Raw genomic sequence first — 15,083 nt, forward strand, 5'->3', positions numbered from 1 at the left:
TCAGGAGTTCGACACCAGCCTGGGCAACACGGTGAAACCCCGTTTCTACTAAAAATACAAAATTAGCTGGGTGTGGTGGTCAGCACCTGCAGTCCCAGCTACTTGGGGGCTGAGGCAGGAGGATCCCTTGAACCTGGGAGGTCGAGGCTGCAGTGAGCCAAGATGGCACCACTGTACTCCAGCCTGGTGACAAAGTGAGACCCTGTCTCAAAAATAAAATAAAAATAAATAAATAAATACACACATCCATATTCTTCCATGCCTTTTTTCCTTTTCTGTGTGTGTGTGTGTGTGTGTGTGTGTGTGTGTGTGTGTGTGTGTGTTTAATTTTAGTTGTTTTCTTTTTCCTGGTTGTTTTGTTATTCTGAATTAAGGTGCTTTAAAAAAAATAGCCAGTTCAGGCAAGCATGGTGGCTCACGCCTGTAATCCCAGCACTTTGGGAGGCCAAGGCAGTTGGATCACTTGAGATCAGGAGTTTGAGACTAGCCTAGCCAACATGGTGGAACCTCATCTCTACTAAAAATACAAAAAAAAAAAAATTAGCCAGGCGTGGTGGTACCTGTAATCCCTACTCAGGAGGCTGAGGCAGGAGAATCACTTGAACCCGGGAAGTGGAGGTTGCAGTCAGCCGAGATCATACCAGGCTGGGCGACAGAGTAAGACTCTATCTTAAAAAAAAAAAAAAAGCCAGTTGGGTGCAGTGGCATAGCTACTTAGGAGACTGAGGTGGGAGAATCACTTGAGCCTAGGAGTTCAAGACCAGCCTGGGCAACATAGTGAGACCCTGCCTCTAAAACGAGAGAGAGAGAGAGAGAAACGTACATAATGAATAAACAAGCAATCAATCATTTATTTAAAAATTTTAAAAAATAGCCTATCTTAGTTGCGATAAGGACAAACCAAGTCAAATGGTTTTTTTGGGCCAGTAAGAAAAAGATAGTTATGGGTTCCTAATATCCAGGTGCCTATAAAGGGGACATTCATAGGAGAGTCCCATGAAGACAAATAGTCTGGGGTGGGAGTCCAGACCTCTTTGGACAGCTGCCCTGGTTCTCTCCTTCCCTTTGCTGCCCCTTCTCAGGGTTGTTCCTCTCAAAATATGTTTCTTGATGCATGAATGACATTGCATTTAATTTAAGAGGCAATTCTCTGATAAGAAAGTCCTGCCTTTTCCCCACTTCCTGCCCCAACCTGCTCCCAGACCTCCTGGGGTTATAGCCTGGCTATCTGGATTTCTCTCTGCCTACTAATTTGCTTGTCATCAAAGATCCTTCCCACTGAAAGCCCCCCTTGATTTTTTTCCTGGTACCTGCTTCTGGGGCCTCCCTCAATGACCTGCCCTGCCCTGAAGTTCTGTCCAGCTGCCAGCTCTCATCCACCCCCAAACCAGTCCCATGCTAAACTCTTCCTTTTGCCTTTCTAGAGGCACTCTCCATCCTTTCCCAGCCCTCTCTGGACCTGGGAGATGAACACAAATGGACTGCATCAAAGGCTCTCTTGTCCTCTGGCTTCTGTTTGTGTTTAACCAAAAGGAGATATCAGAAGATTAAAGAGCAGGAGGATGCTGGTATATGATTCTTCCAGATCCCTCCCTGCTGGGCTGCCATGAAAGGGCTACATCCCTTTTTGAATGCCATAGCTATGGTCAAGTGGTCCTTTCCCCACAGCCACCTTCTCAGGGTCTTGGTAACTATGCCCTTCCCTTGGCCCTTGGGGCCTAGGAGTAATATGGTTGTCTGCTGTTGCTAGCTGAGGGGTATGCACTAGCCCTTGTTGGTCTCCCTTCACTCTGTCCACACCTTTGCAAATAGGTCCTTAATTAAACCCTTCTGAAATTAATCAAGTCTACATATGCCAGGACTGTGACTGATACAAATCCATACTATTGTCAAAAGAGCCCTAGTTAGTATCTATTTTTATGTCTTGTTTCCTTCACATAATGGAAAGCTTCTTGAAGGCAAGGCCCATCTCTTATCTGCAGAGTGATAGACACAAGGAAAATAGTGAGTTTTTAACACTGACTCTTAGAAGTAATCCTGACCTCGATCACCTCTTCCTCAAAAGGCATTTTTTAGGAGGGAAGGGGTATCCAACGAAATATAGCTGCAGACGATGTAAATGTCTGGGAAATTAAAGCAGCCAGATAAAGGAAATCACCAGCTTGAAGACATGGTAGTGGGGGAGTCTGGACAAATGCCAGTTAAAGATAAAACAACCTGTTCAAACTTTGACTAAACTATACAAAATAAAGTATGTTAAACAATGTTGGTCAAAAAGTGTCTAAGAAATCCAGGCACAGAAAGCAAGGGAAAGATAGCTTTGTCAGCACTGAAGACTAAAAACTGATTAATCTCCCAACCTGGGAAACATATGTAGCAAATATATGAAGTATATCTTTATAACCAAGGTGAATACTCTTTTTGTTTGTTTAGACATGAATTCCTGCTTTGGATACATGTGTTAATAAATAAAAAACTGTCACTGCATTTAAGATCTGGAGTTAGACTACCTGTAAAAGAACCCTGGTTCCATAAGATATTACAGAAATGATGGAAGGTGACGCCCAAGGCTAGGTTATACAAGGTACTGGGGCTTCTGCCTTAGTCTGGGAAAAATTAGCCACCATGTTGTGAGGTCCCATAAGCAGCCCTATGGAGAGGTTCACATGACAAGGAAATAAAGTATTCTGCGATCAGTCACCCCCAAATTGCCAGCCACATGAGTGAGCCATATTGGAAGGAGATCCTCCAGCCCCAGTTAAACCTTCAGATGGCTAGAGCCCTGGCCAACACTGACTCCAATCTTGTGAGACACTGGGTAGAACATTCAGCTAAATTGTTCCTTAATTTCTAATGCATGTCAGATTTAAAAAGATGCTTATTATTGTTTTAAGCTGTTAATTTTCAGGGTTATTTGTTATGCAACAATAGATAACTAATACAGATGCATACCCTGGATCTAATGATGAAGAAACATCACAGCCAGGCACGGTGGCTCATGCCTGTAATCCCAGCAATTTGGGAGACCGAGGCGGGCAGATCACCTGAGATCAGGAGGTTGATATCATTCTGGCCAACATGGTGAAACCTCGTCTGTATGAAAAATACAAAAATTAGCCAGGCTTAGTGGCAGGTGCCTGTAATCTCAGCTACTCAGGAGGCTGAGGCAGGAGAATCGCTTGAACCCGGGAGGTGGAGGTTGCAGTGTGCTGAGATTGGGCCACTGCACTCGAGCCTGGGCAACAAGAGTGAGACTTCATCTCAAAAAAAAAAAAAAAAGGAAACATCAGATAAATCAAAATTAAGGAGCATTCTACAAAATAACTGGCCTGTAAGCTTCAAAAGTGTCATGGTCATGAAAGTTAAAGAAGAGATGAAGGAATTGTTTCATATTGAAGGAGACCAAAGCGATATGACAGCTAAATATAATTTGTGAATCTGAACTAGATCCTTCTGCAATAAAGGACATTATTGGGACAACTGGCAAAACTTGAGTGGATTCTGAGGATTAGATGGTAGGTATGTATCGATGTTAATTTCCCAATTTTGGCGGTTGTATACTAGTAACATAGAATGTATTCGAGTGTAAGAAATACTAAAGTAGGCTGGGCGCGGTGGCTCATGCCTGTAATCCCAACACTTTGGGAGGCCGATGCGGGCGGATCACGAGGTCAGGAGATCAAGACCATCCTGGCTAACACAGTGAAACCCCGTCTCTACTAAAAAAAAAAAAAAAAAAAAAAAAAAAAATTAGCCGGGCGTGGCAGCGTGCTACTCGGGAGGCTGAGGCAGGAGAATGGCGTGAACCTGGGAGGAGGAGCTTGCAGTGAGCCGAGATCACCCCACTGCCCTCCAGCCTGGGCGATAGAGCCAGACTGTCTAAAAAAAGTAAAGGGCTGGGCGCAGTGGCTCACGCCTGTAATCCCAGCACTTTCGGAGGCCGAGGCGGGTGGATCAAGAGGTCAGGAGATCGAGACCATCCCGGCTAACATGGTGAAACCCCGTCTCTACTAAAAATACAAAAAATTAGCCGGGCGTGGTGGCGGGCCCCTGTAGTCCCAGCTACTTGGGAGGCTGAGGCAGGAGAATGGCGTGAACCCGGGAGGCGGAGCTTGCAGTGAGCCGAGATCGCCCCACTGCACTCCATCCTGGGCGACAGAGCGAGATTCTGTCTCAAAAAGAAAGAAAGAAGGAAAGAAATCCAATTCTCTCAATCTCACCTGCCTGCACTTCTTTTTTGAAACGGACTTTCACTCTTGTTGCCCAGGCTGGAGTGCAATGGTGCAATCTCGGCTCACAGCAACCTCCGCCTCCCGGGTTCAAGCGATTCTCCTGCCTAAGTCTCCCGAGTAGCTAGGATTACAGGCACGCACCACCACGCCCGGCTAATTTTACATTTTTAGTAGAGACGGGTTTCTCCATGTTGGTCAGGCTGGTCCTGAACTCCCCACCTCAGGTGATCCGCCGACCTCGCCTCCCAAAGTGCTGGGACTACAGGCGTGAGCCATCGCACCCGGCCCCTTGCCTGCTTTTCTTTACTCCATGGAAGGAAGTGCAGGTGATGACGTTTGACAGGCCTCTGTGCAGACCAGACTGTACCTTCAGTAACTTCTCACGTACTCGCATTTCTTTCTTTTCTTTTTTTTTTTTTTTTTTTTTTTTGAGACAGGGTTTCACTCTGTCACCCGGGCTGGAGTGCCGTGGATCATAGCTTACTGCAGCCTCGACCTCTGAGGCTCAAGCAATCCTCCTGCCTTAGCCTCCCGAGTAGCTGGGACTGCAGGGATGTGCCACCATGCATGGTTAACTATTTTTGTAATTTTTGGTAGAGATGAGGTCTTGCTATGTTGCCTACCTAGCCTGGTCTTGATCTCCTTAGCTCAAGTGATCATCCTGCCTCTCTGCCTTCCAAAGTTCTGGGATTACAAGTGTGAGCCACTGCGTCCAGCTGCATTTCTCTTTTTATTTGTTTGTTTTGAGATGGAGTTTCGCTTTTGTGGCCCAGGCTGGAGTGCAATGATGCCATCTTGGCTCACTACAACCTCCGCCTCCCAGGTTCAAGCAATTCTCCTGCCTCAGCCTCCCGAGTAGCTGGGATTACAGGTGGCCACCACCACACCTGGCTAAGTTTTGTATTTTTAGTAGAGAAGGGGTTTCACTATATTGGCCAGACTAGTCTCGACCTCAGGTGATCTGCCTGCCTCGGCCTCCCAAAGTGCTGGGATTATAGGCATGAGCCACCATGCCTGGCCTTGGCCACACATTTCTTAATAATAGGCTGCCACACTAAAAACAAACAAAACAGGTGCTCACGCCTATGAAGACAAAGTGTTAACAAAGAAATAGTAAACAAAGTGTAATTAGTCTTTATCCTTTACAGTTCAGTTCAAATATTATTGCTTTTGTCTTTTTCTATTTCCCAAGCAGAGCTAGTTAACATCCTATTGGATGCTACCATAGCATTTCCCACACTCTTCACTCATAGCGATAATCACAATACATTGTAGTCTTGGTTTTTTTTTTTTTCTTCCAAGTTTTCTCATAGACAGTGAGGAAGGAAATGTCTCTTGTTTCTCTGTGTACCCTTCATGGCAGAGAGTTAATCATTACAATAATAATGGTTAACACTTACTGAGTTCTTAGTATGTACCAATGCTCTAAGTGTGTTATGTTTATAAATTGATTTCATTCTTAGAGCAATCCTATGAAGAAGTTACTGTGATAATCATTATTTTACAGATAAGGAAAATGACACACAGGAATAGAAGTCAGATTTGAACCTAAGTAGTCTGCCTCCAGAGCCCAATGCTGTTAAACACTGTGGTATATTGTACTGTATAAAATAAGTTTGTAGTGAATGGATAAATGAACGATGACTCATAATTACTCGTTTTATTACTTAAAGTCACCTAGGGCATGAACAGAGTTATATTTGAGTTCCAATATACGATTAATAATATTTTGGACAGCCTTGGTTTAGAACAGGGTTTCTCAACTTCAGGGTTATTGACATTTTGGGCTGGACAATTCTTTGTTGTGGGGGGCTGTCCTGTGCATCATAAGATGTTCGGCAGCATCTCTGGTCTTTACCCACTAGATGCCAGTAGCAGCTCCCATTGTCCCTAGTTGTGACAACCAGAAATATCTCTAGACATTGCTATATGTCTTCCAGGGAACAAAATTGCCCCCAGTTGAGAATTACTATCTAGAATAGCACTAATCTAAAAAAAGCTACTTGTTTTTTTGTTTGTTTGAGATGGAGTTTCACTCTTGTGGCCCAGGCTGGAGTGCAGTGGCATGACCTTGGCTCACTGCAACCTCCGCCTCCCTGGTTCAGGCGATTCTCCTGCCTCAGCCTCCCGAATAGCTGGGATTACAGGCGCCCGCCACCATGCCCAGCTAATTTTTGTGTTTTTAGTAGAGACGGGGTTTCACCATATTGGCCAGGCTGGTCTTGAACTCCTGACCTCTGGTGATCCACCCACCTCAGCCTCTGAAAGTGCTGGGATTACAGGCATGAGCCACTGCGCCCAGCCGGAAAGCTACTTTTGGATCCAGCAATCCCACTTCCCAAATGAATTGAAATCAGTGTGTCTGTCAAAGGAATATCTGCACTCCTATATTCCTTACAGTATTATTCATAATAGCCAAGATATGAAATCAACCTACGTATCCATCACCAGATGAATGGATAAAGAAAATGTGATTATATATACACACATATATACATATACATAAACACATATATACATATACATATATATTTTTTATTTTATTATTTTTTTTTTGAGATAGAGTCTCGCTCTGTCGCCCAGGCTGGAGTGCAGTGGCACTATCTTGGCTCACTGCAAGCTCCACCTCCCACGTTCACACCATTCTCCTGCCTCAGCCTCCCCAGTAGCTGGGACTACAGGGGCCTGCCACCACGCCTGGCTAATTTTTTGTATTTTTAGTAGAAACGGGGTTTTACCGCGTTAGCCGCGATAGTCTAGATCTCCTGACCTCCTGATCCACCCACTTCAGCCTCCCAAAGTGCTGGGATTACAGGCGTGAGCCACCATGTCCGGCCCTTTTTTTTTTTTTTTTTTTTTTTGAGACTGAGTCTCGCTCTGTCACCCAGGCTGGAGTGCAGTGGCATGATCTCGGCTCACTGCAACCTCCGCCTCCTGGGTTCAAGCGATTCTCCTGCCTCAGCCTCCCAAGAGGCTGGGACTACAGGCACACACCACCATGCCCGACTAATTTTTTTTTTTTTTTTTTTTTGAGACGGAGTCTCGCTCTTTCACCCAGGCTGGAGTGCAGTGGCGCGATCTCGGCTCACTGCAGGCTCCGCCCCGCGGGGTTCACGCCATTCTCCTGCCTCAGCCTCCAGCGTAGCTGGGACTACAGGCGCCCGCCACCTCGCCCGGCTAATTTTTTTTGTATTTTTAGTAGAGACGGGGTTTCACCGTGTTAGCCAGGATGGTCTCGATCTCCTGACCTCGTGATCCGCCCGCCTCAGCCTCCCAAAGTGCTGGGATTACAGGCGTGAGCCACCGCGCCCGGCCAATTTTTTTGAGTAGAGACGGGGTTTCACCATGTTAGCCAGGATGGTCTCGATCTCCTGACCTTGTGATCCACCTGCCTTGGCCTCCCAAAGTGCTGGGATTACAAACAGGCCAGCCAAATGTGGTATATATACACAATAAAATACTATTCAGCCTTTAAAAAGAAGGAAATTCTGGCTGGGTTACATAGTAGGATAACTATAGCCAATAGTAATGTATCGTATATTTCAAAATAACTAAGAGTAAATTTCACATGTCTCATCACAAAAAAGGACAAGTAAGTGAGGTGATGGATATGTTAATTAGGTTGATTTAACCATTCCACATCCTATACATATATCAAAGCATCACATGGTACTCCATCAATGTATACAATTACGATCTCTCAATTTAAAACAATATTAATTTAAAAAGAAAAGCGACTTTTCCACTAATTGTGCTAATAAAAGAAAAGGGAAAAACATAATCCAGAAGAACAGAAAATACAAAAATTTTATTTCTTTGTATGGCAGAAATTGTTACTTGCCTATTGCGACACCTATTAGAAGGGACTACCTTGGCCGGGCGCAGTGGCTCATGCCTGTAATCCCAGCACTTTGGGAGGCTGAGGCAGGTGGATCACAAGGTCAGGAGTTTGAGAACAGCCTGACCAACATGGTGAAATCCCGTCTCTACTAAAATACAAAAATTAGCCATGCGTAATGGTGTGTTCCTGTAATCCCAGCCACGCAGGAGGCTGAGGCAGGATAATCCAACCAGGGAGGCAGAGGTTGCAGTGAGCAGAGATCGTGCCACTGCACTCCACTCCAGCCTGGGCAACAGAGCAAGACTCCATCTCAAAAAAGAAGAAGAAGAAGGGACTACCTTAACCTTTCTCTGCCAATTCTAAACTTAACTTTATTTGTCCTCATACGCTCCTCCTCCTGTCTCTCAGAGGAGGCTAATCCCTCCATCTGTTCCTAGATCCCTTTCTGTCCTGTCTTCTCAGGAACTGTTGCCATCATTATCCTCTTTCTTTCATCCTTAGCCTTTCTCTAATGGATCCTTTCTATCAGCATTTAAATATGCTCAAGTATCTCACTTCATTTTATTCCCCAAGTTTAAATTTTGGAAAATTTCAAACCCTCAGAAAAGTTGCAAGAAGAGTACAACGAATTCCTACAACCCTTCACTTAGATCCATCAATTTTCCTTTTTTTTTTTTTGAGACAGAGTCTCTCTTTGTCACCCAGGCTGGAGTGCAGTGGTGCAATCTCGGCTCACTGCAACCTCCATCTCCCGGGTTCAAGGGGTTCTCCTGCCTCAGCCTTCCATGTAGCTGGGATTAGAGGCACACACCACCATGCCTGGCTAATTTTTTGTATTTTTAATAGAGACACCATTTCACCTTGTTGGCTAGGCTGGTCTGGAACTCTTGACCTCAAGTGATCTGCCCACCTTGGCCTCCCAAAGTACTGGGATTATAAATGTGAGCCACCACACCCAGTCAGATCCATCAATTCTTAACATTTTGCCACGTTCGCTTTAGTTGTCTTTCTCCCTCCCTTCCTCCTTCCCTCTTTCTCTCTCACTCCACATAGACACCTTCCTTATTTCCTAAACCAATTGAGAGTTAGCTGCAGGTATCATAACATTTCACCCTAAATACTTCAGCATGTATCATCTAAGACATTCTCTGATTTTCTTATTCTCACAGTTATCACACTCAGAAAACTTAACATTGATAAAATACTGTTATCTAATACACAGCCCATATTCAGTTTTTCCCTGACTGTTTCACTAATGTCTTTATTTATTTAATTTTATTTTTTTAAGAGCTGGGCATGGGGCATGGTGGCTCACGCCTGTAATCCCAGCATTTTGGGAAGCCGAGGCGAGTGGATCACTTGAGGTCAGGAGTTCAAGACCAGCCTCGCCATCATGGTGAAACCCTGTCTCTACTAAAAATACAGAAATTAGGCTGGGCGCGGTGGCTCACGCCTGTAATCCCAGCACTTTGGGAGGCTGAGGCGGGTGGATCATGAGGTCAGGAGATAGAGATCATCCTGGCTAACACAGAGAAACCCCGTCTCTACTAAATATACAAAAAATTAGCCAGGCGAGGTGGCAGGTGCCTGTAGTCCCAGCTACTTGGGAGGCTGAGGCAGGAGAATGGCGTGAACCTGGGAGGCAGAGCTTGCAGTGAGCCGAGATCGCACCACTGTACTCCAGCCTGGGCAACAGAGCGCGACTCAGTCTCAAAAAAGAGAGAGAGAGACAAGGTCTTGCCAGGTTGCCAACCTGGTCTTGAACTTCTGGGCTCAAGAGATCCTCCTGCCTTGGCTTCCCACACCTGTGTGTAAGCCACTGCACCTGGCCCTATTAATGCCTTTTATAGCTGTTTTCTCTGCTGTGTATCAGTGTCAGTGTATGTGTGTTGTTCCTGTGTCCAATCAGGGATCATTCATTGCATTTAGTTGCCATGCTTCTTCAATTTCCTTTGAACTAAAATCTTCCTTCTTTCAGACAAAACAATGCTTTCCTTAGACTCTCAACTTCTACATCCCACCACTGTGCTAGCTTTTCTCTCCTTCCCTAGATAGCCACGTTTTGTAAAGAAGAGACTCAGCAGTCTTCATATCCTCACCTCCCTCTTCAACAGGCTGCAGTGTGGCATCTGCACCCCCTAACCCCTTCATGATCCTCACTCACCAGACTTTCCTGCTACCTCTCTGGTCACTTCTTGGGCTACTTTGTAGGCTCCTCTTCCTGTGCTCGTCCTATAAATCTTACAGTTCTTTAGGACCCTGTCCTAGTCCTGTTGCTCTTTCCACTGTTTATGCTTTCCCTGGGTGATTTCTTTTCTTTCTTTATTTTATTTATTTATTTTTTTGAGACAGAGTCTTGCTCTGCCACCCAGGCTGGAGTGCAGTGGTGTGATCTCGGCTCACTGCAACCTCCACCTTCTGGGTTCAAGCGATTCTCCTGCATCAGCCTCCTGAGTAACTAGGACTACAGGTGAGCACCACCCCACCCAGCTAATTTTGTATTTTTCATAGAGATGGGGTTTCACCATGTTGGCTAGGCTGGTCTCGAACTCCTGACCTCAGGTAATCCACCTGCCTCAGCCTCCCAAAGTGCTGGGATTTCCAGTGTGAGTCACCATGCCCAGCTCCCTGGATGATTTCATTCTTTTCGGGGGAAGAAGCGGGAGTGGAGTTTCATTTACCACCTACATGCTGGAATCCCTATTTGTAGCCCAGGTCTTTCCCTCCAACTTCAGTTTCAAATCTCCAATGGCCTCCTCAACATCTGAATCCACTTAGAAATCTCACAGGCACCTTGAAGCAATATGTCCAAAAAGAGAACTGATTATCCTCCTACCACTTCTACTGTGCTTTCTGTCAAAAAAAAGAAAAAAATACATATATATGGCATCCCTCATTCATTACCTGAGCCAGATACATAGAAGTCATCTTTGACACATCCTTTTGACATCATCCATGACACATCTAATCAATCACCATACTCCACTGATTCTATCTTCTTAGTATCTCTGGAATCCATCTACTTCTTTCTGTTCTCACCACCACATTCAGGCTGCCATCATCTCTCCCAGGAATATTTCAGCAACCTCATAATCCTTTCCCCAAGCTTCCAGCTGTGCTCCATTTTAATCTCTCCTCCACCCTGGACTCTGAGTGATTTTCTGAAAATGCAAATCTGACCATTTTTTAAATTGTTCAGCTAGTTTCTCACAGCTCTCAGGATACAGTCTAAATGACTGAACTTGGCCTATAAGCTGGAGTGAAAGTCAAGGTATTTTATATCTGGTAAGGTACAGGCCCTGATGCCAGTTTAGAAAGCATGTCAGCTGATTTATCTGACCAGTTTATGCCGGCTAAATAATGGCTTGCCTATAGAGCCCCATACTCTTCTGCAGTCTCATCTAGGGCCACTCTTCCTCTAAAGTCCCACTGATCTTGTTTTGGTTCTCAGAATCAATCACCAAAAATGCAGTTACCTTTGCCTGGAATACTCTTTTCCAGTGGCTGCACCATCATCCCACCTTATCTTTTCATTTATTTATTTATTTATTTTTTTTGTAACTCCATCCTGTTACTGCCTTAGTCCTCTGAAAACCTCCAGCTAGTTTTCATACGAATGCGTTTGAAGTCTTCTCCATTTTGCACTTGTGTAGAATTTTTTTAAAAATTCAAGAACAAAACTTTTTATTAACTGAAAGCCTATTATGTATTAAGTATCATGCTGAGTTTTGTGGATATAGGGGCTAGGACAAAGTATCAACAGAGTAAAAGTGTAAGCTCCACGAGGAAATAACTGGGTCTGTCTTGTTCATTAATGAATCCCCATTCCTTTTTCTTTTTGTTTAATTAATTACTTTTATTTTTATTTCAATAGTTTTTGGGGTACAAGTGGTTTTTGGTTATATAGATGAATTATAGTGGTGAAGTCTGATATTTTAGCCACCCAAGTAGTGATGAATCCCTATTTCTTGAGATGATGTCTGCACACGGTTATATGCTTACCATTTGTTGGATGACTGAGTGAATAAGATAGTTTAAAATGGAGATTTTTTCCTATAAGTCAAAAAGTATTTTCCTAGTTCATTTATTTTATAAATTCAGATATTTTGTACAAGGCTGTCACAATCTAACTCACTTTTTTTTTTTTTTTTTTTTAGACAGAGTCTCGTTCTGTTGCCCAGCCTGGAGTGCAGTAGCGTGATCTCGGCTCACTGCAACTTCCGCCTCCCGGGTTCAAGCAATTCTCATGCCTCAGCCTGCCGAGTAGCTTGAATTACAGGCGCGTGCCACCAGGCCCGACTAATTTTTGTATTTTTAGTAGAGACGGGGGTTTCTCCATGTTGGCCAGGCTCGTCTCGAACTCCTGACCTCAGGTGATCCACCCGCCTTAGCCTCCCACAGTGCTGGGATTACAAGCGTCAGTCACCGCGCCTGGCCCTAAATCACTTTTGTTGTTGTTGTTGTTGTTATACTGTTCTTTTTCATTGCTAAGTAATATTCCACTGTGCTACATATGGAATATGCTACAATTTGTTCATACAACCACCTGCTGAGGGGCATTTGGGTGTGTGTCAGTTTTTTAGGCTGTATAACCAATTATCACAAACATAGCAGCTTAAAACAACCTAAATCACTTTTAACCAAACCCTAGAGTTTTCTCCTCCTAAGGTAGACCCAATTTCCAAAATAAACCCATATTGTACCTTTTCAGGCCAAAGAAAATATTTATATGCTTTATTTGCTGGAGGCCATTATATTCCACCGTTGAAGGACTTTTGTTAAGTACCTGTTTGACCCTTAGTGCAGGGCTTACATCCCACAGTTAGCAATAGCAAGTTATGTGCTTTTTGAGCTCTAAACACTGAGAATTTCTTGAACCGAGTTCTATTCGGCCCTGACTTGCTGTGGGGGAGAAAAGATTCCTCGGGAGAAGTGTGGGTGGCGATGGCTTAGGAGGACCTTGAAATTCCGCATTTGTCTGTGAGCTGCTGCCAGGTGCCCATTGGCCCAGCTACTCTGGGTCGCAAACCTGCAGATGCCAGATACATGAAATTTGGGGACGTTCAGCTTCCTAAAACCACAGTTAGGCAGGTCCTAGGACCCGTGATTCTTGCCACAGTTTTTCTTAGTATTTGGGCTACAAGTGAGGCATTGGCCGCCATCTTGATATCAAATGCCAGGCAAGCCGCTACTGGCGTCGCTCGGTAACCACGGAGACACCCGTGCCCCTCCCGTTTCTCATCCTTAGAGGCTGTAAACTACAATTCCCATCAGCCGATTTCCTCTGCGTAATGGCAACTTATCTAAATCTGGCTTGTGGGCAACCGCAACGCTGCCGCAGTGAACTGTGGGAGTTGCGGTTCACGGCGTAGCCTCAGTTTTTTTCCTGGGGGAAGTTCCAGAACTACAAATCCCGTGAGCCAGTGGGCTTTCGCCTGCGCACGGAGAAGCCGATTCTCCTTGGCCCCTCAGCCTGCGCCTGAGAGGTAAGAGAGGGCGGGGGGAAGGAAGAGGAGGCGGGATCCGGGCGCTGCGTTGGCTGCGGCCTGGCACCAAAGGGGCGGCCCCGGCGGAGAGCGGACCCAGTGGCCTCGGCGATTATGGACCCGGCCGAGGCGGTGCTGCAAGAGAAGGCACTCAAGTTTATGGTGAGGAGACGGTGGAGGCCGGGGAACGGTGGAGGCGCTGGCGTTGGCGGCGTCGCTGGCCTGGGCCGCCCGCCCACTGCGGGACCGGGCAGCGGGACCCTGGGCCGAGGCTGGCGGCGGAGCGGCTGGAGGGATGGGATGGGAGCTCCAGAAAGGAGGCTGGGGGTTGCGGAGCGGACCCAGGGGTGGGGGCAGCGGCTCCGCCATCTTGTGGATGAGAGGCCAAGTGACAGCGGGAGCTTAATCGAGGAGGGGGCTCCAGGCGGCGCGCGGGGCCCTGGAGGGAAAGGGGCGTGGGGACTGTTACTGAAAAGCGGAGGAAGCTCTCTGGAGAAACGCCGTGAGGCCGCTGGCGGGGCCTTCCTGGTGTCAGGGTTACCGGTAAGGCCCGGGAGAGGAGGTGCATTCACGACTGGGGAAGGGAGCGCGGGATAGAGTGAAGACAGATACGGTGGGTAGAGGGGAACGGGCAGGGCTGGATGCAGATGGATTTAAGGGTGGAGGAGGGAACGCTAGGGCTGGTGAGAGGCTTATAGTTTTGTAGAATGAGGAGGGAGGATAGCCTTTGCCTTGAGGGTGGAATCCCAGCTTGGCCAAACTACTGTTGACAAACTCTGGAAGGGAAGAGGCCTCACTAAAGAAGATAAGGACTGGGAATGAGGACCTAGGGCTATAATGACAGTCCCTGGGAGGGGAAAAGGGTGTTGACTGTAAGCTAGAATTACAAATGTCAGGGAGGGGTACATAACGCTACTTTGAAAGGAGAAGCTAAATACTGTAATAAGGACAAGGTGATGAAAAGTAAGAGCAGATTGTCAGGGAAACATGGGTACAGGAGATTGGGGCAAAATGAGTATCTAATAGGGTAAGCAAAACAAAATTTAAAGGTAAATTGTGGGACGGTAAAATGTGGAGGCCAGGTGCTTTGTATCATTTTCTGGGAAAGGAAAGGCCGTGGAGATGAGAGTTGCAAAGACCCATAAGAAGTGATGAGATCAGTTGAGAAATTTAGGAGATAAAAAGGGTGGAGGTTGGTAGAGGGAAGTAAGTCAGGGATAAGTCAGGATTTGTGGTTACCCGTCAGTTTTAGGTTGAAGCACAGTGTGAGCAAAGATTGGATTTTGTGGGTGTGCTTAAACCCCTTGGAACATATTTCTTTAACTTTGTATCACGCTTTTCTTTTTGCTGTGCTTATCTTTGGCAAACTCGTATAGTCTGATATTTGATGCTTTTAATCTGATGCTTTTTGTATTTCCTAGGTGTAAAACCAGACTTTGTGGTTACAACTAAAGAATGATGGAATGCATAGATTTTAAGCTTAACAGGTGGCCTTAGGGACATTGATATTATTTGCAGTCCAGT

The 15,083-nt window shown here is 45.7% G+C and overlaps 1 protein-coding gene across 8 annotated transcripts in view, besides 2 other annotated features; it reads left to right on the forward strand.

Annotated features, from left to right (window-relative positions):
* Window positions 10,234–11,433: an enhancer, noted in NCBI's record as "MED14-independent group 3 enhancer chr10:103110498-103111697 (GRCh37/hg19 assembly coordinates)". NCBI's record gives its function as "activates an origin of replication core promoter dependent on BRD2, BRD4, P300/CBP and CDK7 cofactors, and independent of MED14, by STARR-seq in HCT116 cells {active_cell/tissue: HCT116}" and the evidence as "EXISTENCE:reporter gene assay evidence [ECO:0000049][PMID:35650434]".
* BTRC (beta-transducin repeat containing E3 ubiquitin protein ligase) overlaps window positions 13,541–15,083 on the forward strand; it is a 203,266-nt gene continuing 201,723 nt past the window's right edge. For 4 of the 8 annotated variants that reach the window (NM_033637.4, NM_001256856.2, NM_003939.5 and 1 more), the window contains exon 1: window positions 13,658–13,721. In NM_033637.4, coding sequence (NP_378663.1) covers window positions 13,674–13,721 — 48 coding nt within the window. In that variant the 5' untranslated portion in view covers window positions 13,658–13,673. Of the gene's footprint in view, window positions 13,560–13,657; window positions 14,103–15,083 lie in introns of those variants that run through there. The other 4 variants (XM_006718054.3, XM_017016870.2, XM_047425987.1 and 1 more) reach the window with 2 other exon arrangements.
* Window positions 13,702–13,881: a silencer, noted in NCBI's record as "silent region_2720". NCBI's record gives its function as "represses an Ori minimal core promoter by ATAC-STARR-seq in GM12878 lymphoblastoid cells {active_cell/tissue: GM12878}" and the evidence as "EXISTENCE:reporter gene assay evidence [ECO:0000049][PMID:35858748]".

The sequence above is a fragment of the Homo sapiens genome, chromosome 10 (assembly GCF_000001405.40).
Source record: "Homo sapiens chromosome 10, GRCh38.p14 Primary Assembly".
Taxonomy (NCBI): Eukaryota; Metazoa; Chordata; class Mammalia; order Primates; family Hominidae; genus Homo; species Homo sapiens.